Source organism: Homo sapiens, chromosome 14, assembly GCF_000001405.40.
Source record: "Homo sapiens chromosome 14, GRCh38.p14 Primary Assembly".
Classification (NCBI taxonomy): domain Eukaryota; kingdom Metazoa; phylum Chordata; class Mammalia; order Primates; family Hominidae; genus Homo; species Homo sapiens.
This window is the reverse complement of record NC_000014.9, coordinates 41597331-41624175: the sequence shown is the minus strand read 5'-3', so window position 1 is coordinate 41624175 and position 26845 is coordinate 41597331. Positions and strand designations below refer to the sequence as shown.

At 38.3% G+C, this 26845-nt stretch overlaps 1 protein-coding gene across 6 annotated transcripts in view, besides 2 other annotated features; it reads right to left on the bottom strand.

Annotated features, from left to right (window-relative positions):
* The window catches only part of LRFN5 (leucine rich repeat and fibronectin type III domain containing 5), a 297674-nt gene extending 280374 nt beyond the window's left edge, over positions 1-17300 (bottom strand). For all 6 annotated transcript variants that reach the window (NR_144389.2, NR_144388.2, NM_152447.5 and 3 more), the window contains exon 1: positions 15614-17300. The gene's annotated coding sequence lies outside the window, so the exon portion shown is untranslated. The remainder of the gene's footprint in view (positions 1-15613) is intronic.
* Positions 23695-24444: an enhancer, noted in NCBI's record as "OCT4-NANOG-H3K27ac hESC enhancer chr14:42068935-42069684 (GRCh37/hg19 assembly coordinates)". NCBI's record gives its function as "activates a minimal SCP1, AML or CMV promoter by ChIP-STARR-seq in naive and primed H9 embryonic stem cells {active_cell/tissue: H9 hESC(naive and primed)}" and the evidence as "EXISTENCE:reporter gene assay evidence [ECO:0000049][PMID:30033119]".
* Positions 24445-25194: an enhancer, noted in NCBI's record as "NANOG-H3K27ac hESC enhancer chr14:42068185-42068934 (GRCh37/hg19 assembly coordinates)". NCBI's record gives its function as "activates a minimal SCP1, AML or CMV promoter by ChIP-STARR-seq in naive H9 embryonic stem cells {active_cell/tissue: H9 hESC(naive)}" and the evidence as "EXISTENCE:reporter gene assay evidence [ECO:0000049][PMID:30033119]".

Below are 26845 nucleotides of genomic sequence, written 5' to 3'. Positions count from 1 at the left end.
TATATGGAGTATGTGCTACCCATGCTGAAGTTAGGAGTAGAGGTTATTTCAAAATCTGAATATCTGAAGCTCAAGGTATTTGACTCTGAAACATCTTAGTTGTAGAGGCGTAGGAACTGTTTCCTTCTTGATAATTCAGGAGATTATTTCTGCACATGTAATTTATTAAACTAGTTACATTACACTATAGGAAACAGGAACATTAGTTAACCACACTGCATTATTTTCTTCACAGGCTGTCAGCAACTTCCTCCCAAATGGAATGCTGAGTTGTGATTTCACCATAATTAGTTAATAAATTTTAGAGTACTCTGACCAAAAAATGACTATGAAAAGGGGACTTTCAGATTTCCATCTCCACAATATTGAAGTGAGCTGAAACAAAATAAATATGCAACTTTTAAAGAATGTGTTAGACCTGAAGAAGCCTGCCCAGTGCAATTAAAATATAATAATAATATAAGTTGATACTGCCCTACAGTTTCCAATTAAAACTAGAGAGTAGGGCCTACATATTTTTAATGTTCTCACACAGCTTTATAGCAAAGTCACCGAAAGTTTATATTTAAAACTGATCTTAAAACCACTTAATATAGACTGCATACACAAGCAACTGAACCACGTTTGATTCCCCTACAAAACAGAGGTGTGTTTGATTACTTTGCTGACATGCCACTTGGGAACTCAAATACAGAGAATTTTTTTTAAATCCCCACATTTTTAGTCCATTTTCATACTGCTATAAAGAACTGCCCGAGACTAGGTAATTTATAAAGGAAAGAGGTTTAGTTGACTTACAGTTTAGCATGGCTGGGGAAGCCTCGGGAAACTTACCATCATGGTGGAAAGTTACGGGAAAGCAAAGCAGCCGCTTCACAAGGTGGCAGGTATGGGACTTCAAATCAAGATGAGATTCGGGTGGGGACACAAAGTCTAACTGTATCACCACAGGAGGTTAATTTTGGCTGTTTTATTTGTCAAATGGAAAATTATTTATTCAATGACTGTAGAAATGCTGTGGTCCTGAGAGAAAAGCAATGACCCTTTAGAGGGCTGGAAAGCTGAACTTTAATAGCAGAGCTGACATTATACTGAAACAGAGGCTCTCAAACTGACCTAGATCTCACCAGCTCAAAGGTTTGTTATTTCCTTCCTCTAACTGTAAGCATAGCAGAAGTCAATACAAAATATGGTATATCATAACTCAGTTAAAATTGAGTTCGTTTTTGTCTCATATAAGCTTAAAATTAAATTATTGTACAAAGCTAAAAGGAAGTTGATAAGTAAATATGGATTTATCCCTATCAAAAAAGAGTATGACTTGGATAAATCATAATGGAGAATTCTGTATTTCAGATTATTCCAAAATAGATCATGATAACAAATACAAAGCTACAATAATTCTTCAGCACTTGTGTGATCTCTCTCTAACAAAAAGAAAAAGAAGTTACCTAAGACTTTTAAGAAAAATTATATTTAAATGCAGCCATTGTCATATTCCCTTCTATAATTTTACTATATTTTATTTCATTTTAAAATGAAGGAAAGATGATTATATTTCCACAACCTTGTAGCTTGTTTATTTGTAAACTTCTTTTAAAGTATGATAATTATGAACAGTACAATATATAGTATGCATATTAATAGAGATTCAGTATTTGATAAAAATAAATAAGCTTATTTGAAAGTATGTGTATATTCATACATGTATATGGTCCTTTACTCTTTTATGATCGTAAGACAAAGCTTAGCTTATACAAATATTGCAGTTGTGAGCTTCTCAATGAAAAATGATAAAATTTTATTTGTAAAATTCTATTAGATCCAGCCATTTCAAATATTTTGCTGTAAGACTGTGGCTTGACAATTTTCCATTTGTTTCCCTAAAATAACAAAATTTGCTAAGAAATCTTAAAGCAGGAAACACTAATTATCAAACCAAAATATCAGAAGTTCACTAAAGGTATATTGGCTTTTGAATTTCACATGGGGGACAGAAAAATGGCTTCTCAGATAAACTATTTCTGAAAGAAATGAAAAAAAAAAAAGAGGGATGGAAAGAGAAAGAGAGGACAAGAAGAAGGAAGTGTTAAATAAATCAAATAGTGCATTGATTCTTCCCAACCAAGTTCAGAGATGGTAACATGAGCCAAGTCAAACAACTAGGGCTGAAAAGAATCAATTTAAGGATTTTTGTTAGGACTGTCAGGAAACAGTTTCTTTCTCCCACTTTCTCTCTCCCTTCCTTCCTCTCTTTCATGGTCTTTCTCTGTCAGCCTTTGGACATGGTGTTGCTATAATGCGAAGCGACCCTGACCTACCCCTCCAAATCTGAGAAAGGAACCGATGGAGACAAATCAGAGCTGAAAGTTGCATCCTGATTTTTCAACTTTTTAAATACTGAGCCAAGCTATGCCTGAAAATAATCCTGCGATTGGTTGTCTGAACAAAAAAATTCCTTTGATGCTGAGGCAATTTAGGTTGAGTTTTTCACATCCTGCTAAATGAGTTCTAAGTGATACAACCCTATTTTCCAGCCTTAATTCTAGATGCTGAAACCAAAAATATTCTGTTAAATGCGAGTTACAGAACCTGAACTCCAACAAGCTCGGGACCGTCATATAATTCCACCTGTCTCACTCTTTTTACACATTGTTCACCTGTAGGTCTCAACTCCTTCTTGGACTGATACATAGCCAATTTATCATTTCAGTTTAAAATGGCAAAGCATATCTTCAAATTACTATTGATAGCACCAATTCAGCAACAGTGAGTGCTAACTCCATTTAAATTCAGCTCACATAGTTTCTCCACTTAAGAATCACTGATAATCCTACAATACCAATCACCCTGTTCAAGAAAGTTTTGTGTTATGGGCTTTGAATCAGTTTGAGAGACTTGATACTAATTTCTCATTCCCAATATAGACTGTATTTCACACAGGGGATATAGGGACACAGAAAATAGAAAAAAATCTTTAGAATGATATGACATTGTTTTTCAAAGGCTCTTTCATATTTCAAAAATTAGGACTCTTTTCTTTTTCGTGTATCCTCAAATGTAAACAAAATGCTATCACTAAAAGTATATACACAAATATAGAGGTAATGACTATAAAAAACAAAATTAGTTTCCTTCTATTGGTACATATAAGTAAATTTTAGTGCTTTATGGCCACATTCCAAAATCAATATTTTTTATTAATGTATGTATCAATTCATGTATTTGACCAACACCTCCTGAATACACACTTTATACCAAGAGTGATATATTTCACTTAAATTTCCTATCTTGGTTTTAAATTGCCCTTGAATCTGCTTCCTTTGTTTAATATAGACATTATAGCTAATTATTTATTCCATGTTTTCAAAATGTGATGGTACAGACAACACTTAGAATTGAAAAAAAAAACTGCTTTCCCCAACATCATTGGGAAAACTTGGCCATCGATTACACATTTTCATTTGTCCATTTATTTTGATCCCAATAGAATAATAAGTGCGATAGTCATATACTCACATAGCTATTTAAACAATATTTTAATTTTCAATTTAAAAAAGAAATAGAACTATTAAACAGATAGACATCAGTGGGAAAAAAGTTACACAAATTAGTCTAAGCTACTATAAGATCAATTTTCCCAAATAGAAAACAAAATCAAGTTACTCATCTCTCCTCAATTCTTCGAACATGTCCTTAATAAGAGTGACACATGTACCACAAAACCAATGGTATACACAAGCCCCTTCCAAGATACTTTACCTACTTTTTGTGTTTGTAACTTTACATAATTTTTTCTTTAAAAGATTTCCCAAATTAAGTTACTTCAAAACCCTAAACAACCTGGATTGGTCCTGCCTATTAGAACTATATATTATTTGAGACGTTGCTTTTAAAATATCCCGGTTAGTTTAACAATAGTTAGTTACTGTAGATCTGTAGGAAAGTTTGCTTTTATTTTAATTATTTTTTTAACAATTTCTGTATCAATCTTTAAGGAAATTTACTGCCTTGATATGGTTTTATAAGATCCCTTTGGTCCTGTGTCTCAATAGAATAAACTAGAAACAGATTTCAAAGCTGACAATCTACTAAGGCCAAATATTACAGTCTAACCTGTAAAATATAAAGACGTATTTTTTAAAAGAGCCATCATGCTATGCATAAAAATATTTGCAATTATTCTTTATGTACAATTGTAATTTTCTCACTTTCAATATATAATAATAATAATTGCTAGTGCTGTTTGAGCATTCCATTATTTGCCAGTCGCTGTGTGAGGTGCTAGGAATACATTATTTCACTGACTCTTCACAACAGCTTTTGGGATGGTCATCAACATTAGCCCCATTTTACAGATAAGGAAACTGAGAAATATGCCAAGAAAATCAATGTTTATGTACTGTATATAATACACATAGTATATGCAGTGTGTATGTGTATATGTATGTACATATATATGTACATATATTGCAATATACATATATTGCCATATGCAGCATATGAAACCTAGTTATTTTAGAATTTACTAGTAGAAATTTCAAATAAAAAGCATACCACACATTACCTATCTTACATTAGATTCTAAAGAAAATATAAATAAAATATTTTATATTCAACATAATCCAGGGAGGCTTTCAACCCAATTACAAAATACCTTTGAAGAAAATATTTAAGTGAATATGACATGCATTTTCAGGTACCCCCTCACAAATACATCTCTTTTACTAAAAATACAAACACTGAAGTCAAATACACTCATTTTAATTATTTTCTGCAAATAAATAATAATCAGAAAGTTATGAAATTATAATTGTAATGCCCCATGACCTATGCCCTGCACCTCATTATACCTGTAATAGTATGTCAAATACCTGTAGAGTAATTTGATACATAAATGAGATTATTTACTAAAAGATGAATATCAAGGCCCAGAATAAAGTAATTGTGCAATATCGATTTAATTTACAAAAGAAATGAGTAGTAAATATGAATCACCAAAATATAATTAGAAGATAAAATGAAATCTTGGAGAAATTACAGAATACCACACTGAACTAAACCAGCCCAAATACCACTTGGAGGAAAAAAAAGCCAAATTTTCCCTTGGGTTTTAGGTGAAATTACTCCTAGCACAAGAGGAAAACCTTTTCAGAGAAGCTTCTCTAATACAATGATAAGTCACTACGTTATAAATTAGGCAAATCAAAATTACTTATCATGCACATGTTAGGAAATATCACAGAAAATTTTACCTACTGAGAAATCAGCAAATATTTCCAAAGGTGTAAGAAAAAAACATATTCTGCCTCAAAAATATATGAATCCATGGATTGAGGGGCATCATGCTTAGCTATGGTAGATATTTAACAAATATTTGTTGAAAATATTTTTTAAAAAGAGAGCCAGGCTTTTTTTCTAGAGAGGTATGGTGGCTGGCTATGTCTCAGTACCTAAGACAGGTGTCTCAGTTATTTATTCTGATTACATAATTTTGTGGCTTAAAGTAACAACCATTTTATTTGTTTATGATTTTATGGGTCAGCAATTTGGGCTAGCCTCAGCTGGTTAGTTCTTCTGCTGGTCTCACCTGGGGTCAATCTTCTGACTATAATTATCTGGAGGTTTGAATATGTGTGAATGGTCTCAGGTGGCCTCATCTGCGTGTCTGGCCATTGGAGCTGGCTGTTAGCCAGGCCACCTGTCCTCAGCAGAGGAATCCATGTTTCTTCACATAATGGTAACATTTTTTGAAAAGAGCAGAGTAGAAGCTACATAGTCTCTGGAGGATTAGGCTTGAAAATTATACCATATCACCTCTGCAATCCCTGTTGTTGAAAGCAAGTAAAAAGGCCAGCTCAGATTCAAAGAGAAGAGAAACACACATCTATTCTTGATGAGAAGCACTGCAATGAATTTGCGGCCATTTTGAATTCAAGAGGTAACAACGTAGCTTACAGATAGGAAAACATGACAGGGCTTACTTTAGAAAAGATTTGTCCTGATAACAGTTATATCTAGAATTAAGCCCAGATTTTGACTGCCCATTATCTAGCCCCTCTGTCATGGAAATAACAACAGTGATTCAAGATGAGAAAATGAGTTTGTCAAGTGCCTTCTTTTCCACCCTCTGCCAAACGGAAGAGGTAACAGGAGTAACACCTGAAGCACTCATTAAGAGCATCAACAGCAGTCTACACAAGTAGCACAGCAAAAGAAGAGGTGAGTAGAAGGTAGAACATGATGAGACAAATGCCAGAGTGTTCATGATGGACAGATGATCTGTAAGTTTCACCCCATCATGATATTGCAGTATGTTCTGATTCTTTGCACTAGGAAACATGTTAACCTGAACATTTATTTATTACTTACAGCATACCAGTCCATTTAAATGGCATGTCAGTCCCTCCTGCAGATGGTAACTGAAAATTAAAGAGGGCAAATCACCCAAAATCACACTATTTTATCAAAAAGTTTTAGTATATATTTATATCCCAGACTCAGGATGCAAATACCTTCTCAATACAAACAACTACAGAATCTCCTAGTGGATAAAGTGCTTTTATAAACATACAGATATAAGACATGGCAGTTCATAGAGTACCAAAAGCACATGAGAAACTAAAAATAGGATATATGATCAGAGGATGCTCATAATCCTTAAAGGAGACTAAAAACACATTTTTTGTAATAATCAATGGAAAACAGCCATAAGCAGGAGAAAAGGGCAATCCCCTAGGTGTAGCCAACAGAGCATCCTCTTTAGAACCAAAAATGTTTGGATTTTAATTTTAGCCCTATCATCTTAGCTGTATAATCATGGGCAAGCAAATTAACCACCTGGGCCTCAGTATGTTCCTCTAAAAAACAGAGACAATCATGATAAAGCTATAGGGTTAGTGCATAGAGTACAGAAAAGTAAAAATCTACAGTGCCAGGAAAAGACCACCTTCTCAGAATATGATGAAGATGATGCTGATGATCATCATCATCCATTATATATTATCCAAGTTATATTAGCATCTTTGAGTGCTATCCTCATCAAGTACAGGGAAAGCTCATGTGCTTGTCCCAGAGGATGAAGCCTTAGACTTTCATTCAGCCTCAGGTCCTTATTTTACCAACATACCTAGCAATCTTATTATTTTCTTAGTAAGTTCCTATCAGGAAGTTTAAAAAGAAAGCAAGTACACTGACAACAATTAGCTATATAAGAGCAAAGAAAATCGAAGAAACACTTTACAGTTGAGACAGAAAGAATAAAAGAAGGGGCAAATTTATAAACTGCCTTAAACATATCTTGGATTGGTCCCAAGGGTCTTCTGCAATCACTAACATATATATTGAAGGAGTCATTAAGAAAATAACTATACCTAGATGTGGTGTGTTGATCTTGACAACTATTTGAATTCACATCAAATGCAATACTTTTAATAATTTTTAAACAGGATGCCTAAAGACAACATTCAAGACTATGGATAATGCTGATAACCAAAAGACTCATTCTACCAGGATACTTAGTCAAGTAAGTTTACATGTCATTTTCTTCTGTATTCAAATTATTTTTCCCTCTTTTAGGAATTAGATAACCTCATATAGAGGCTGAAAAACTGCTAGGAGCTTAATCATCAATTTTATTAAACAATGGAGGAGGTAACAAAACTTAATTTAGTAAATAATCTAGAGATCAATGGCATCTAGAGGAAAAGGTGTGAGAATGTCATCAAGACTGATTAAGGACTAGGGCTCCTCTCTGAAAGAATGTTTGTTTCTCACTCTAGACTGCAACTTTTCTAGAGTGGCATCTATGCCATTTTGGCTTCTGTGACTTAAAGGAGAAGTGGTTAGCAGAAAATCCAAGTATGCATTAAATGCCAAATAAATGTTAAAGGAATTAAAGAATGGGCTTGAGTCATTCTTGTCTAGAACAGACAGCTCATGATGCAGCCAGCCAGTCACCTTAGAGTAAGGTGAAAATTTACTCTTCTTGTGTTGCTCCATTTCATTGTTGTTCATATTTATTATGAACAATAACATTAAAATGTATGAGTGAATTTTCTCTATTTATTGGGAAAGATTTAAGTAACTTTGTCATCATGAGTAAATCATATGATCTGAATGTTCAAAAAGTGTCAAGATTCATAATAGCAAATACGTTTAATCCTGTGATCAAACTTGGATTGACCAGTTGTTGCATCTTGAAGAGGTAAACTTAAAGTGTGTAATTTGATTGTTTGTAATTCAAAAGATAAATGCTTGAGGGGATGGATACCCCATTCACCATGATGTGCTTATTTCACATTGCATGCCTGTATCAAAACATCTCCTGTACCCCAGAAATATATACACCTGCTATGTATCCACAAAAATGTTTAAAAATAATTTTTATTTTTTTAAAAAAGAGGTATATATGTTAAGAACCCGAATGCCTTGTCCAGGATCAGCAAGAAGAAAACATTGATCAAATGGTAACATCTAAAATGAGTGCCGGCTGGAGAGTTACAGCATTTTCTTGCTTTCTCTGCTCCAAAAGCAATGAAGTAATGGCCCTGCTTAACTCGACAGTAGTCTACCCACGTGGTTGTTGTCATGCTTCAGCAAAAATTTGGATAACAAATGAAAACATTCCAGAAAATGGTGATGATGAAGACTAATGATAGCTAACATTTATTAACCATTAAAGGTAAAAGGACTTGAAATCACGATATACAGAAAACTGTCCCAAACCAGTTTAGGGCCAAGATATGTTTAGTCATAAGCACAGCAATTGTGGTTTGGAAATTTCAAGGAACTCAGTGCAAACACTAGAAGTACTATCTCAGGAATTAGACTTGTGTGCCTCTTTCAACCATGCTAAAAATAATTAGAAGCAACAAGATGCCAGAGTTTTGGCTCAAGTTAAAGGAGAAAATTATAATACATCTATATAAAAGTGAAATAATATATTTTAGTTGGAGTGATTTGGGAATCACTAAAGTTACTCAAGCTTAGTCAAGATGACCACTTGGCAGAGATGCTTTAAAAAAAATTTAAGATTGAATATATATGTCAGGAGAACTTACAAGTTGCCTAATGCCATGTCCATCAGAGATTAAAATGAATATAAATTTGAACATCTGTGGTTAAGTCATGCATTCTCCAGAGTATTAGAAATACAGCCTACGATTTCTTAAACTCAGCTAGATTCTCTGCTTTACATCTTCTGCCTGGTTCCTGAAGACACTGGACTATATTATGACCCCTGGTCTGGTGAGCTTTTGAAGCCATACGATTATTACCTCCTTTATACTTTCCCTCTTGGTGCTCATGCTAGCTAATGATGAGATGATCATGGTGATGGTGATAATGTTAATAACAGTCAGGTGCCTAATGAACTATATCACTGAAACCTCCAGACCGTCTGATTGCATAAGTCATATTATTAGCCCTATTTCTTAGGTGAGGATTCTGATGCTCAGAGAAGTTCAAAGACTTGTTCAAGGTTATACAGGGCTGTGACCAAGGGGGGTAGAATTCCATAGTTCCTTTTTCTAACTACTGCACAATACCAACTTCTACAAAACACAGCCATGATTTCTTAATTTCTTCTCTCTCTCCTACTACAAAGCGTAGAACATCAAAATAGAACTAAAAGTTTCAGTTAATAAATTACTTTCAAGCTTATTAATTTGTTTATATTTTTCATGTTACTAAGAAAATAAGTTATTGAGGTCAGGACCCAATGTCCAGTAATATATTGTTTAAGTGCCTGATATTTGAACAGTCAATACATGGCAAATATCCTAACATAATTCCTAAAAATAACCTTAAACTTTTCACTTAAAGTTAGGCCTATTTTTGTTGAGTGCGGGATTCCAAATTAAAATATTTGTAAATATTAATGATGTCAAGATATCTATCCACGTAAAATAAAGCATATGCACTACTCATGTAGTGTTCAATGCTGCCATATAAATTATATGTATTTTAATGTTACTGTACAAATGTCTAAACACTAATAAAAACAAGTGCAAATAAACCATTCAAAAACTTGACAAATCTTCACACCACAAAAAAATAATAAAAGGAGAGCTAATTAATAAGAAAAGTACCACATCCTATATTTCCAAAGGAGATAAGAGAAAGTTAGGTTTCACAGTAATGTAGTTGGTATGTCCCCACTAGTAAATCACATTAATACAAATATTCTATTACTCGGGAGGTAATACCACTAAAATCCATGGAAAACCTACTTGAAGATAGAAAATAAGGAGTAAAAATGAAGACTGGAATCAAGAAGTAAATTGAAGTTTGTCCTTCAAGGCTCTTGAGCACTTCCTCAAAAGAGCTGAACATGGTGGAGTGAAAATAGATCAAGATAAACAGCATTGTTTAGGCTTCCATTCCTGATTACATATGCTATTTCTGATTGAGCATCTATTGAATGAATTAGTTTTTTTGTTTTTTTTCTAAGAATTCAGAAACTGCTCCCAGAATTTGTTAAAAGTATGCTGAAACCTTAATCATTTATTGTATTACTTCTTTTCTAGAGTCTTTTATTCTTGTAAAATCTAAAATAGATTCCATTTTCTATCAAAATTCTACAATTGTTTTCCACAAGGATTATAATGCCATTTTCGAAATATTTGTTGGGAAGATTTTTTAGAGCAATAAATTATATATATGTTCCCACAAAAAAAAATGCAAGAACAGTGTGAGCTTTGAGTTTTGATAGATTTCTTTTGTAAAAAGATATATTTTCTTATTTTATTTTAAGTTCTGGGGTACACGTGCAGGTTTGTTACATAGGTAAATATGTGCCATGGTTGGAATGTACATTAGTTCAACCATTGTGGAAGACAGTGTGGTGATTCCTCAAAGACTTAGAACCATAATAATATCTGACCCAGAAATCCCATTACTGGGTATATGCCCAAAGAAGACATATTTTCTAAGAAGAGCAAAACTTGTCGGTTGACATTTTCCTGCCAATATGACCATGTAACTTAAACATTGTCTATGAAAACCAATTTCTGAGAAATATTACAAATGTAGTTTGTAGTTTAAACAATAAATCCTTTTCATGTGGTTTACTTGGAATCAGTAAAATGATAGACAGCAGAGTTATATAACCATGTAATTCCATTGTAATTTTTATCACTTATTAACCAACTTCATAATTAGTATTAAATTATGTCACATAAAATGTTTATGTAAAATTAAATTATGTTTATTAAAAATCATTTTGTCAACACAGTATCTTTCACAACAATATGATGAAAAAGCTTAAAAGTAGCATTGGTTATCTTTGAATTAAATTCTTATATTTCTGTCTTCTGTTATATGAAACTGGAATTTTCATAATAACATACAATTTATGTTGGTAGAGCATACTAAAAATGGTTCACCTCTAACTGGAATAGCTTCAATAATTATGAACATAATACTTCTTAATTTCACCATGCACATACCATGTAATGAACAAATTATACAGCCTTAGGTTCTAAATAGTCCTCAATGATTGAAGGATGCCATGGGAATAAAAATGTGGGCTCTGCAACCAGAATAAGAAGTCTCACTCTCAAGGCTTGTTGAACAAGACAGAGTTATGCACATGTGTGTCATTGGAATGATTTAGCAAAATTATCTGCTAGTTATGTATTCTAGGGGCTCTCACACCTATAAGGTCCAAATTTCCAGTTTTACTCTTCAATAATACATAAAACATAAAATTCATTATACTACATACAAAACCCTGAAGATAACGCCAATATGTTACATTTTTAAGTAAACAGAAAATAAAAATCACTGAAATAAGCTAATAGGTTAGCCAGTTAAGCCTTTAGGAAGTTTCAAGTAGCTTCCTTTTCCCAGCCTCAAAATTGGCAATAATACTTATTAGCAATCTTATTTATGACACATTTATTTTTAAATATATAATTTAGTAGATATTATGCAGTAGTTTCATGTAGAGGCAGAAATATTGTTAGATACCTGCAAGCATCTCATCCCAACCATATATCACAGCAATAGGTCAGCAGAAAGCAAGATCTCAATTTCACCAGCAAGAAAACTCAGCAAAACTACTAAGCCAAAAGTGCTTCAAACAGCAAGAAGATCCAGATCACTGATATAAATGGACAAAGGAAAATGACGGTCATTTATGAAAAGATGAAAGAGTGATAAAACATGATATAACATATGAAGATCATTTAAACACCAATGCCATAACTAGATACTGCTTTAACACCCAAAATCCATTTAATGACAGAGGAGACAAAAATAATTGAAGAGGGAATAGGGTGGGGGTATTCTCCCACAGGTAACTACAGGTCTTGCCATCGCCTCTTGAGAAAAAGGAAAGAAATCACTTCTGGCTGCTATCAGTCAGAACTAAACCTTTATGAACTTCTCCCAAAACACCAGCACAGGAATCTCATATTTCAAAAACAAGGTGTGTGTGCTCATATACACATTAGATCTATGAGGGAAGGAGAGACGTATGTGAAAGAACAGAAGGCTGGTGTTCAAGGTCATTCTCCTCTTGAAAAGAGAAAGGGAAAAAAATGACTAAAAGAAATTATCCGAGGTACAAGAATCAAGTGACAACTTCTTTTCACCTATCTGCTTATGCTTGTTCTTATAGATATCTTATTGTTCTGTCCCTATTAATAGTGACTAAAAGAGGGCTTACAAAGAAGGAGGCTTTTGGCTGGGAAATTTCCTATCAATACCTGAAGTGTTAACTCATCAATGAACCAGGCTAGTGAGCCAGGCCAGCTCTACTTAAAGACAATTCTTAACAAGGACAGTGGACTTAGATTTTCAAAGTAACTTGTACCCTCTCCATTTTTCCAGAAAAGGGAGAAGAAAAAGGTGGCAGAAATATTTTCCCCCCGCCTTAGGAACTTCTGTGCATGTAACCTTGTGCTAGTAGCTCTATTTAGTTATGACCTTTAACCTAACTCCAATCTGCACCAATGAGTGACATTTTCAAACATGCATCACACCATCATCTATGTTCAGGTTTCTGAGCATTCAGCATCCATTTTAATGCATTTGCTTTGCCTTCCCTGAGGCTGAGGGCGGAAGAACAAAGCTTAACCTGCAAAAATCGAGTCCTTAGTGGGAAAAGGCCAGAAGAAAGTGAAATAGGTGGGAGGTGATGAAAACACCTTATTTTCCAAGTACCTATATTCACCAGCATTTCTTTTTTCTTGTGCACTCTCTAGATAGGTATGAGTTACTTGCTAACAAATATTGTAAGTATGATATCAATACTGTTGTAATAGTATTCTGGGGTAATTTGGGAGGACAAAGTGGGGTCCTTGTCAGACGTTTAGAATACACAAATCAGATTTCTAAGATTTTCTGAGTGATAAGAGGATTAGAAGTAAATTCATTAAAAGACAAAAAAAAAGAGAGAAGATAAAAGAAAAAAATCCTTTTTTAAATTTATTCCCAATTATCTGTTACCTTTCATTTATTTCATTATTTAATCCAGGCAATACACTTTTTTTTTTTTTTTTTTTTTTACCTTCCCTGGGACCTCAGAGGGGTAAAGTTCTGTTAAAGTCGAGATATCTTCTGTATCATTCCTTGGTTATCCCTGGAGCTAGAAGTTACAAAGCAAATCTATCTGAAGAGTGGAAATCATGTTCTCCTCTTTCACGTTTATTGGGTACCAGGTGGGAGAGGGAGGTTAGTTGACTTTACAGAGGTGTTTCAACTAGAAACAATACGGGTATAAATGACATGATCAAACCGAGGAGAGCAAGAAGGGAGGGAAGAAAGAGGAATAAATGGAAATCTAGGAAATACACACTTAGCTTCAGGTTTTTAATCCTGATAAATCATGCAGTATTTGAATATCAAGACATTTTTGTAGCCAGCTTTCCTTCCATATTCTTCAATATTCATTGTCGCGGGGAGGGAGAGAGAGAGAAAGGTTTTGCAGGCAAAGACAGGACACCACCGCCCTCCACGCTCCTCTGTGGCTCTGGGCATCTCCCTCCTCTCGCATCCAGGCGGCCGCCTCGGCCACGATGCGCTTGCTGTCTGCCAGGGGGTCCGCTGAGCTCTTCCGCCCTGCCCGGAGAAAGTGTCAAAGCCGTCCTGCCAGCTGCAGTGGCAGAGCCCAGCCCCCAAAGCCCGCTGCATACATGGCCTTGTAGCACCACCAGCCTGCGAGGGCTGCAGCAGCAGCCGAGCCCAGACTCGAAGAGGAGTTGGGGACGTCAGTGCGCAGGGACAAGCAGAGCAGCTATCGGCCAGCTAGAAGTCTGCAAATGCCATCATATGGATATCTATAGAAATGCAGCGAGTGGGGGAAAATCAGGCAGCGCCCCTACACTTCCTAAACGGCGTTAGCAAAGAGAACCCCCCGCCCCCCAGCAGCCCCAGTCACTGCCTCCTGAAGCAGGGCACCCTGAGCTTGGCTGGGCCAAATCCTCCGCTGAATGTAGCCAGCAAGCAGCTCCCAAAGGCGGGAGACAAACGAACACTCCTTAGTTAAATTATTCAGACCGTCTTCACTATGGAATAAAACATTGATGAGACTACTTTGGAAGTGCTTTATCTTGTTAATTCTAATGTCTTCGAGAAAGGAGTGAAATTTTCCGATGGGGGCGGGCGCTGAGATAAGACGAAAGGGAATTCAGGGGAAAAAAAGGCGCCAGGGTAAAGGGCTTTGGAAGTTAACTAAATTTGTTCTGCTTCAGCCGGCCATGGAAATCTCATTTTAACATACCAGACCCAATATGTTAATTAGGCAGTCGCAAATCCAACCTGCTCCTTGTAAATCAAGGCACCGGAAAAAAAAAATTCAAAATATCTATTATACAGGGATAAAACAAACAAACAAACAACAACAACAAAAAAACGCGCAAAGGAGTTGCGTGTCCGTGACGGGGACAATACAGCTGGAGAGAATGTTGGGTGGTGGCTATCGTTTTAGCCTGGTTCTGCTAGATATAAAAATGACTTCTTTCATGGATTTATTCTGCTACATAAAAGCACGTCCTGGCAGTTAAACACCATATCTCAAGACACACAGCCGTGACAATATGTATTCCCTTTCATGCAAACCAAGTTCCAAGAAAACTCCATTTCGAGTCAAAGTCTCCAGATGCGTAATTTACAACTACTAAAAAGATCTGGCAAGCTCCTCCACAACAAGGAAAGGAAAACAACCTGGCACCAGAGGTAGAAAAGGGTAGAAAAGATCTTTGGTTTAAATGATGGGTGGAAACCAAACACCCACTCACACTTCACAATCTGGAAAGGGTTGGGTACCAAATGGTCCGTGGCAACCACAGCCTGAAGGAAACACAGAATTTTGATCTCTGGCATCTTCAGACAGGTTCCACACGCCTAGCTCTCAAAAAATATCCTCAGGGTGGAGCACATCCATATTCTCAAAGCTTTCACTACTAGATTAAGTGCTTAGGTATAGATTTATATTTCACCTACTAGAAATCGTATTACAAAATCACAGAGCAGGCGCCCTTGGATACCCAACCCTTCCCAATGATTTTCAAAACATTAATAAGTAAAGTAGCCTGCAATGCAGATAAGACACTAGAAACAAGATCAAAAGGAAATTGGGTGAGGCGAGTAATCGTTGGTTTGTTACCTGGTGCCTCTAAGGGAAAAGACGGTCGTAGGAAGACTTTCTGCCTGCAGGTACAATCCCGGCAAGGTGGCTCCAGGTGGCTTTCACAGTCGTACGCGGGTCTCGCTCGTCACTTCGCTGCCCTTTGCCATAGCTCAGCACCCGCATCGTAGGGAATCGGAAAGGCGGCTCCTGCCACTGCCGCCGCTGCCCGCAGGTCGCTCTGGGTGGGGGAATCGCTGCAATCGCCCCATGAAACCCGCGGCTCCGCGCCCGGGGAGCGGGCAGAGGCAGGGCGGCCGCGCACGCACACACAGACACACGCTCACACTCACACACACTCGCACCCGGGCGCGCGCGCACTTGCACTCACACTCGCACACGCACACCCAGCACTGCACGGGGAGGAAGCAGCACGGAGGGAACCGGTCCTTCTCACGATTGGCTTCGAAGCCCACCGGACCGCGGGCAGCAAAGAGAGCGTTCTCGCATAGCCCTTTAATCACGTTTCCTTCAAGTTCTCCTCCAACCCGAATCCACGTAATTCAAGAGCTGGTGACATTTTGGTGGGGAGGAGGGAGCCGAGAAAGGGCTGAGGAAGAGTCGGGGATTTTGTTAAGCAGTTTAATAAGCAATCCTCATTACCTTATTTGTTTTGTTTTGTTTTGTATAGCAAACCAGTTCGAAGGGCTGAACTTTTGGCTTCAAATGCTGTGAACCAAAACGTAAATATCCTTCTGGCCAAGAGAAGAAGGTGTAGATACACGGAAACAAGAGGGCTGCAAGACACTCTCTTGACCTTGTGATGTACCTGGAAGCAGGTTAATATTGGCGCTTTCCAAGCTTCTGGGTAAAGCGATCCACACACCTGGGTCCACAGCCCAGCAGCCGCTCCAAATCCAGCCAGGAAAATGGGTCTGGGCGTCCTCAGAGCTCTGCAAGAACCCGGGCATGAAGGGGCATCGCCGAGTTAACACATTTGCTTCTGGGCAGTTGGATAAAAGACAGTCAAATGCATCAGATAGGCGCGCGCGTACACACGCGCGCGCACACACACACGCAGCTAGCTGGAAAGCGGCTTACAAAACACTAGAGACATGCCAAGATGACTTGAAAAGGTAGCCAACATCCAGGATCTTTCCGGAACACAGAAGGGCCAGCAGGGAGGTTATCAAAGTCTTCTCAAGTCTTTCAATTCTTCCTCTCTCCTCTGAGTGTGTGTGTGTCTGTCTAGGTTTCGTTGGTCTGCCCCACCCCCGTCCAGTTGCGCTTTTTTTTTCTGATATAACGGACCGTGCAAAATGGATTATATGGGTGGGCTGTGTTCACAGCCAGAGCTCCCCAAAGTCAAGGATCCTAAGGGAGCAGCCAGCTGCTAAACAATTCACATCCTCAAGGGAAGAAGGAAAAACACGCTCAAACACACGCAAACACGCGCACACACATACATAGTCCTCCGTTCGGGCAGCTCTGCACACGCTCACCGCCTCCCTGCGCGCCGCGGAACACAGCGCCCCGCCCGCTGGCCACCGCGCTGGGGCGAGTCCGCAGTTCAGGCGCGAGGCAAGCAGCCGAGGTCCGGGGCTGCGGCCGCGGCCGGGGCGGACCCGGGAGCTGGGCTTCCCAAAGCGTCGCGTGTGGGCAACGGCGGCCTCCTGGCCGCGTGGAACTGAGCCCTGCGCTGCAGCATGAAGGCGGCGGCGGCGGCGGCGGCGGGCGCGCGGCCGTGAGCTCAGCCCGCGCTGCAGTGACGGGAGCGGCCGTGTCGGCCAGACCCCGAGAGTCCGTGAGACCCCGGCCGGGGCCGCTCCGCTGCTGTCAGCCCTCGGGCCTCCCAGCCAGACTGGTTCTGAACCGATTTATCAGGGGGTTGCGGAGAGGGCCGGCGAAGCGCCAGGAAATCCCCAGGCTGAGGAGGCGCGGGGGCGTTGCAGGAAGGGGGAAGGGAAAAGGCAGAAAACCTGGAGAATGAAAGCGAACTTCCAGGGGCGTCCCCAGCCTCCTGCAAAAGGGCAATTTGCTGATCGCCCACTTCCTCGCAGTTACGGGATAGAGAGAATCATCACTGAGTCAAGCTTCGGCTGCTTAGGGCGGTGGGAAAAGTCATTATCTATAATAACCCGCCGGAAATTTTGAGGAGAGCTACTGACTTGGGGGTTTCAGTCATCTGAGGCTGGCTTCCGCTGTCCCCTTAGTTGTGGGTGGTGATTTGCTTACTAATCAGATGGGAGCGGATTCTGAAAAGAACATTTATATTTGGGAATCAACTCAGCTCAGCATCAGACATTACGAATACTGCAGTTGGTCACATTTTACTATGTGAAGGGCAGAAAGGGAGCCCAACAGTCTTCATAAGCCAGACCTAGTCTCTAAGGTCACCGGCACAGACGCAGGGTCTAAAGCAGGAAAGAGGTGCGACTGGAAAGGAGGTTAGACAGGGCCCTGCGGGAATGGATCTGCCCGGAGCCCTCGCCTGGTTTTGCTTGAGACTCCGACAAGACTCCCAATGCTTCTCTCCCCGACCCTATCCCCACTCCCTCCATCCTGGAAAAGCCAGTGAGCAAAGTTAACTCTTTCTTCTAAGAAACCCTGAGTGAAATCTTGCTCTTCCTTTCTGCTAGAGTCCTGAAACCCTTTCGCTTCTCATTGTGGGTTCACCAGCACGTGGTCTTCGGACACTGAGAGCACCTTCGCTCTCAGCTGTGATCCTAGCTAGCCCAGACACCAGTCTGTACCCAAAGGAAGAGTAGGAAGTTGCAAAGGGAAGCTGGCTAACAAGGGCTTCTTCTGCCCTACTTGGCAAAGGCCCATACGGGTGGCCTCCGTGGATATGGAGCTCCTTCATTTTGTTCCAAAAAGAGCTCTGCCAGGCTTTACCATTGCCCTGGAGGTGCACAGGCGCCCGTATACTCGAGCACAACCATGGGCTCACCCCAAGCGCGCACACCTGCACCCACGCGTAAGGAAGAACCACACAGCTATCTCTGTCGGGGAAGAACACGAGGAGTGAAGTGCTTTAGGTGGAAACTCCTCACATCTCCTTTCTTTCCTCTGCTCCCCCTCTCTGCCCCTGGTACTCCGGATCCAATCCTTGGCTTAGGAATCCACTCAAGCCACGTCTGGCTGCTTTGTTCCAGAGGAGCGCAGCTCCGAGACTGCACTTCAGCGGTGCAGCCTCCCTCCAGGTCGGCGAGCGGCGCCAGATCCGGGACTTCAGGGTCTCCGCGGGAGCTTAGGAGGCTCAGGATCTGAGTTGGAGAGCTGGAAGGCCAAACTCCGAGCCGCTGAGGGACTGCGCAGGAAGACCACAGAAATAAACCAAAGGGACACCGCGGACAGATGTACCAGAGGACACCACTGAAGTCCAGGAGAATCTCCACCAAAACCATCAGCGTTTTCCTTGTAGCTTTCTGTCCCTCGAAGTGGAAAGTTGAGGTTTCTGAGAAGTCCACGGAGAGAACCTGCAGCAAACTGAAGCCACAGACTCCGAAGGCATAGGGAGAAAAAATGCTTCCATCCCCCTTTCACTTTAAACTTGATCGCTTCTGGGACTTCACTGGAGGGCGGTGGAGTTGCACCAACCTGGAGTACAGGCAGATCCCAGCGAGCACTTCCAAGTACTTTAGGACGTGGGGGTGACTCTTTTTTCTTCAGGATTGTCCCACTTGCCACCCTTTCCAGCTGAGCTGATAGGAACCAATGAAAGTCTAGGCGATGAGGATTTTCCGTTACCTCAGGGATCAAAGTATAAAATGTTGAATGAGAAACCCGAAGACCTTGCATCGCTGGGCTGAATAACTTGTTTTCTTTTTTATGGTGTCCAGACTGAGGTAGGGAGGGGACACACTGACCTAGCTGTAAGAAGTCAAGGGTTGGGACAAAACAAAGTTCAAATATATACTGGAATTTGTGTGTGTGTGTGTTTCAGAAACTGTGTGTGTGTGTGTGTGTGTGTGTGTGTGTGTGTGTTTTCAGCTTGAGAAAGATGAAATCACGTTTCCTTAATGCTGGGAGTAATAATGCTTAATGCTTAACTTTTCATTGTTCTTTCATGTTTCAAGCCCTACCAGGCCCAGGAAAACACTTCTTTCCGTTTCCTGTAGCCTTCCTGCGTATCATGCATTATATTTGAAAGTGCTTTCCTCTACTTTCCTCATTTTATCTCAATAATCTCTGCTAAAACCAGATAACTTTCACCCTCCCGGTTCAGCATTTGCTCTTTTCCCTCCTACACAAGCTGATTAGAATTTGCAAAGAGAGAGGAAGAAGAAAGGTTCTATTTTGTTTCATGATTGTTGCTAGAAAACGGCAAGACCTCGGGAGAGAGACCAGCATATTATTTCCCAGTGGATGTCAGAGCTAGCAAAGTTTTTTTTTTTTCTTTAAATTTTATTCCCTAGCAGGTCAAAAACTAGTATGTTTGCAAGAACAATTTCTAGTTTGCTCATAAAACTATTGTTATTAGCCACTCTAAGGTTGGCATACTTTTAAAAGTTCAAACAAGTTCCTTCTAGAATAGGGTTCTTTTAAACATTAACATTTAAAAAGAAGTAATTTTTTTCATAAATAATTTAGATTTAACTCTTTACCTCTATAGTATATCTGCCTTACTTCGTTAATGTGTCCCCTGATTTACTGCCTATGTCAAAGCACTTTTAAAATAATGTCAATTTTCTTGTTCTCCCAGTTCATTTTTCTGAGGACCAATGGTGATAAGTGTTGGTCTGCCTATCTTCCCAGAATAATCCAAGATTTGGGGAAAGAAAGAGTATTTTGCTAATTTCAGGTAATTAATGGAGATATGAATGTTTTTCAGTTAAAGTGATGAATATCAAAAGATTACCTGAGTTTCTGTTTATATTGTTATTTAATATTTGAGTTTCTCTTTAAGGTAGTAAAAAAGTTATGATCTAGTTTTTTTTAATGGCGTTAACAATTAGTTTGCACATCTTATGCATTTTATTTACATGGATTAAAGTATGTGGTAAGTTATCACTTTAATTCATAAATTTGTTTTATATGTAACTGAAGAAGCTTATTGTAAATTGGAAATACCTTACCTTCAAATTTCCTGGGTGAGAAATCACTATTGAGTTATTTCTACTTTGATTATTTTTACTAATATAATGTAATATAAGTTATCTGACAGTTCAAGACTGGAAATTGGTATGAAGAAACAAGGAAATACAAGTTTCTGAAATGAAGGGATATCATTCAAAACAAATCTGAGTTAAACAGAAGAAATGAAATCCAAACATTGACATTTTTTTAATCTACATAGTTTTGAAATATAAAACGAAATGTGCTTATATTAGGAGCATGTTTCCAATGTTGCAACTGACCTTGAACTCCTAGAACACAGTGTATTTTAGCAACTAGATCTCACCAAAATATATATTTCAACTGACTTCAATACAGAGTTGAAGACCCCAGCATATTTCTGGCATACATAGGTAAACAGATTTCTCATTGGAACAAAAAGAACCAAATGTATTTAGTATTTAATCTTCTTTTGAGTTACAGAAATATTTTTTCTTGTTTCTTGATTTTTTAAACTTGATTTATATAAAACACATTTCCTTTCCTTTCTTTCTGTATCTCTGTTGTAGATTTTAACCTTTATAGATCATAATAGTGAACTAAAAGATCAAGGTCTACTTGATGAAAACTGGAACTAGCCCTGGGAACCCAATAAATTACTGGACAGAAGTAGACATTTATTTTACTAAGAAAAATGGTTTTTGAACCTAATTTTTTGAAACACAAATACAATGTGTTTCAGAGATTATGTCCTCAGCAGAGACTTGAGAGAGCTCAGAGGAAAGGAATTACTTCAGAGATAAGCATTGCTGTAGAGAAAGGACATTTCTTAATACTGAAAGTTAGAAGTAAATTTTATCTTTCATCTCCATTCATATTTTTTTCTTGCTTATTTGCTGATACCTTGATGTTAACTCCCCATATTTGTCTGGTGCTCCCATTTAGTTATCCAAGGGCCCCAAAATGCATCATGCTCTCGAGGGCTATCTGACCCAAAGAAGAATTCTAAGCTATTACAATTTCTACTTCTCATCAAAACTCCATTGAGTCATAGTAGATAAATCTAATTGAGCTTTTAATAAAAAATAAATTATATCAGACTAATTTAAGCTAAAGTATGAATGACTAGCAGCCTACATCAGGAATATGAAGCCAACTTAATTTATAAAAAGTAGACTTTCTGGCAAATTGTGTTAATACATATGGGAAGCAGGGGCACCTCAATCATTCTTAGCCTTGAATACCAAATTGAATAAGCATGGTACTATATTTTATATTTTCCTTTTTTGTATCTTTGATAATGCTATTGAACAATTATTCACACCTAGCTTTAGCCTTTGAAAGAAATATTTTTTTAATTTATGTGTGTGTATAGATGGCATTTCAAAAAGATTTCCACTAGATAGTGAAACTGTTCTCTAAAATGAATCTAGTCGTAAAGCAATTATCTTAAAAATAAAACATCAGAGTAATTGTTGTTATGACTTGATTTAGGAGTTCAGGTAGGCGCACCAAATCATATTAGGTAGAAGTAATAAGCTGTTTGAATGTCTATGGAATTCATTTCTTCAACATACTTATGTTAAAAGCCTGATTAAGAACTATTGTCGTGCCGGACCCCTATTAACTCCAATAGGGATGATATCTGACATCGTGTCTGAGAGGCAGAAGGAGAGACCCTGAGCCAATGAATCAGACACAGCATTTATTGAGGAATTATATATAGTTCAGGCCAGGAGTGGTGGGCTGGACAGGAAAACTGCTACTGTTTATAAAAAGCATACAGGATATGTAGCATTTTCATTTAGGAATCTCTAGCTAGCAACCTCCGTTTTACCCAAAACAAACGTCCTCAGTCCCCTTTATGGCCTGAGTTCCAAGGTATGGGTGAGGGGTTCAGAAGTCCTCCATCCTTAAGGAGTGAATCTCCAGGTTGGCCACTCCTGAATTTCTTAGGTCAGAACTCCAAACAAACCTTCTTCTTACACCATAGGGACCTTCTCAGGGTATGCTTGAGTTATTGCTATCAAGTGCATCTGCTGTACAATTACATAACAAAGATTTGGCTTCTTAGCTTTAGTTTTACAGGTTTTATTTTTTTAACTTCTATTTTTTCTTTTATTATTTATTTATTAATTATTTTTTGAGATGGAGCTTTCACTCCGTCACCCAGGCTGGAGTGCAGTGGCACGATCTCGGCTCACTGCAACCTCCACCTCCCAGAGTCAAGCGATTCTCCTGCCTCAGCCTCCCGAGTAGCTGGGATTACAGGCGTCTACGACCACGCCCAGCTAACTTTTTATATTTTTAGTAGAGACTGGGTTTCACCATGTTGGCCAGGCTGATCTCGAATTCCTGAACTCAGGTGATCCACCCGCCTTGGTCTCCCAAAGTGCTGGGATTACAGGTGTGCGCCACCGCGCCCAGCTTTTAACTTTTATTTTACGTTCACGAGTATATGTGCAGGTTTGTTACACAGGTAAACTTGTGTCATGGGGGTTCATTGTACAGATTATTTCACAACCCAAGCATTAAGCCCAGTATCCATTAGTTATTTTTCCTGATCCTCTCCCTCCTCCCACCTTCCACCCTCCCAAAGGCTCCAGTGTATGTTGTTTCCCTCTGTGTCCATGTGTTCTTATCATTTAACTCCCACTTATAAGTGAGAACATGTGGTATTTGGTTTCCTGTTCCTGTATTGCTTTGCTATGGATAATGGCTTCCAGCGCCAAATTAGAAAACTGAATCTGTCTTCAAGTTTGAGGCAGATTCAGCTTCTTAATTATTCATCTTGAAACTCTGTCCTTGAATTTCAGGCAGGTGGCCACAAGTCGGCAGTAATGAGACACTCTCATGTGGTTGTAACCACATGGTTGGACTTTCTTACAAGCCCCCATAGATTTAGAAGGAAGAATTAATTTTAATTTATTTTATTAAAGATCCTTTTTATTAAAATAAATGATGTGTGATAAGTTTTATTTACATGAAATCAGATAATTTCTTTTGGAACAGTCATTTTTTAAAAAATTTCTAAAACATGATTAGGTAATTTGCCTTTTAATCTCTTCACTGGTTCTTTTTCTTTTCCCCTTTAAATCACAGCCGTTTAGAGAGAAGACTGAGTTACTGTTCTTTTTTAACTCATCTTTTGCTTCCATAGTATATTCCTGGTCCTGTAACTGAATGCAATCTTTTGGCTAGCTTGGTGTTAAAGTTCTTTTGGATTTGTATCTCAGCTCTTAGTGGCTGTGACTTCTGTAATGAAAGGGAATCCTTTCTGTGACTGGTTAGCATCAAACTTCTTTCTCCACACAGTGTCCTTTATTTCTCTGCTTGCAGTTTTGTTCATTCCATGTAAATTCTTTGAATGCCTTTGTCAGGCCTCTGAGCCCAAGCCAAGCCATCGCATCCCCTGTGACTTGCACGGATACGCCCAGATGGCCTAAAGTAACTGAAGAATCACAAAAAAGTGAATATGCCCTGCCCCACCTTAACTGATGACATTCCACCACAAAAGAAGTGTAAATGGCCTGTCCTTGCCTTAACTGATGATATTCCACCACAAAAGACGTGAAAATGGCCGGTCCTTGCCTTAAGTGATGACATTACCTTGTGAAAGTCCTTTTCCTGGCTCATCCTGGCTCAAAAAGCACCCCCACTGAGCACCTTGCGACCCCCCCACTCCTGCCTGCCAGAGAACAAACCCCTTTGACTGTAATTTTCCTTTACCTACCCAAATCTTATAAAACGGCCCCACCCCTATCTCCCTTCGCTGACTCTCTTTTCGGACTCAGCCCGCCTGCACCCAGGTGATTAAAAGCTTTTATTGCTCACACAAAGCCTGTTTGGTGGTCTCTTCACAGGGACGTGCATGAAAGCCTTGTCATAGCCAGTGCCCTGCACCAGGCACTAGAGAAAGAAGACTAACCATAATTTTCATGGCCTCTGTCCCCCACAATAGAGCTTACCATCTAGTAGAGGTTAATAGACCAACAAATTAGTTGTTAAATTATGATCTTGTTTTTATTTCACCAACTACAATTTGTTATAAAGCCCAAGTGTGTTCTTTTGTGAGACCTCTGGAACCACCTCCTATTAACTCCAATAATAGCTTCTCTGTTGCACTTAGTTTTTGGTTTATTTTTCCCACATTCATTCTAACTGCCTTGGGAGGTAGTTTGTGAAACATCTGTATGAAGTCTTTTACTGCAGTACCAGATACAGCCCAGGGTATTACTAAACAAAGTTTTGGAATAAAACAAACCTGGGTTTGAATCATGGTTCTGAGATTCACTGTGTTACTTGTGTAAATCATTTAACTCACCTGAATCCTCAGGTTATAATGCATATCAAATAGAAATTAGAATATTTATATTTAGGGTTGACAGGCTTTAATGACTGCCTGTATATAAACTACCCAGTAGAGGTAGGTACTCCATAGATAACATTTCTATTCCCTGTCAGTCTATCTCAAATCATGTAATGAATGATTAATTTCACATTAAAGTATAGTACAGATAACCCAGTTTCTCAAAATAAACTACTTTTTAATCAAGAAAATCTGCTCATAAAAGCTTCCTGAGATAAAATCCTTGAGAAGATGCCTAAAATATTCTACTGATGTTTTTATTTTCCCTCATATTAAATATATATATAATATATATTATCTATTATATATAATACATATACCAAATTATATATTAATTCAAACATGAAATTTAAGCAAAATTTTCATATCCAACTTATTCTCCTCAGACGCGATTTGTTCTCAAAATGCTTTTTAGAAGTTTTGTACCTTAAATTAGCTCCCCTTTAAAAGGGCTAGTTTTATAATAAAGTAATCAAAGAAGTTTCCATGGATTTTATACAACTGGTCTTTGGCTTTCAGACTAGTTTCTCTCTCTCTCTCTAAATATATATATATCTGTATACATCAAGCCCAAGTTTGTTCTTTTTTGAGACCTCTGGAACCACCTCCTATTTACATACACACACATAGAATCTTACTGAGGTACTTACACATTATTGAGGTATTTAAAACTCATTAGAGGGAAAAATGTTAACACTAATTGTTACAAATATTAAGAAATATGTTGAAAATAAAAGTAGGGTAATATGAAAATAAATATAGAAACATTAAATATAGATTTTAAATTATTTACCATCCATTTGTTAAAATAATCATGAACATTTATATTCGTAGAAAATGTGATTAGTTTAATAGTTTTTAAACTGCATTATATGGTTTTGCAGTATTTTTCCACTTTAAATTTGTCTATTGTCAACATTAAACTATTAATTTAATAAATTATTAATTTAAGCTATAACTATATTTAATTTCTGCTTGGATATGCAAAAACATAAATTATTGTTTTATTTTGTGTTTAGTTTGGCATGTTTTAACGTTTTGTAATATTGTAACTGAAATGCAATGGAGGGGTACCGCGAACAGGTAGGGCCGAGAGGCGAGACAAAGAGGACAAAAATCTCCTTTATTGAGCTCTCGGGCGAGGTTCACTGGCCCGCAGGGAGTGGGCCAGGGAAGTCGCGCTGTGCCAAAAGTGCAGCGCGCTTATATGGGTGAGTGACTTGCCTTAGTGACGTGCTTTAGTGGGCATGCGCGTTCACTGGGGCTGCGGGAAGAAGACAGGTGAACCCGGAAATGCTGAGTCAGGGTATCCGAGGTGGCTGTCGGGATGGCGGGAATAAATGGCGGGAACAGGCGAAAATGCCAAGTCAGGGTAGCCAAGATGGCCGCTGGGATGGCGGGAACCGGCGAATCCGGGAATGCTGAGTCAGGGTAGCCAAGATGGTTGCCGGTCGCCATCTTGGAGTCTTTACCGGAGTCCAATCAGTAACATTAGAACATTTTAAAACCAAAAAATATATTGTTGAAAAATTAACATGACACCGATTATGGGAACTTATTATATATTTTATAATAGTTTTATTATCAACAGAATTTAGGAAATAAAAAATTGCATGAGAAATCATTGTGAAAAATTATATGGCATTGTAGTAGTTTCTATATTGTTTTCAAACTTGTGCGTCCAACATTGATTACCGTTACCTTTTATAATTTTACAAATTTGAGGATTTGCTACATTTTCTGGTTGAATATTTTCAATACTATTTTTTAATACTAAATAATGTAGCCAAAAGTGTAAAAATATTAGCATTACATTTATTCATGCATTCATTTTCATAACAGTA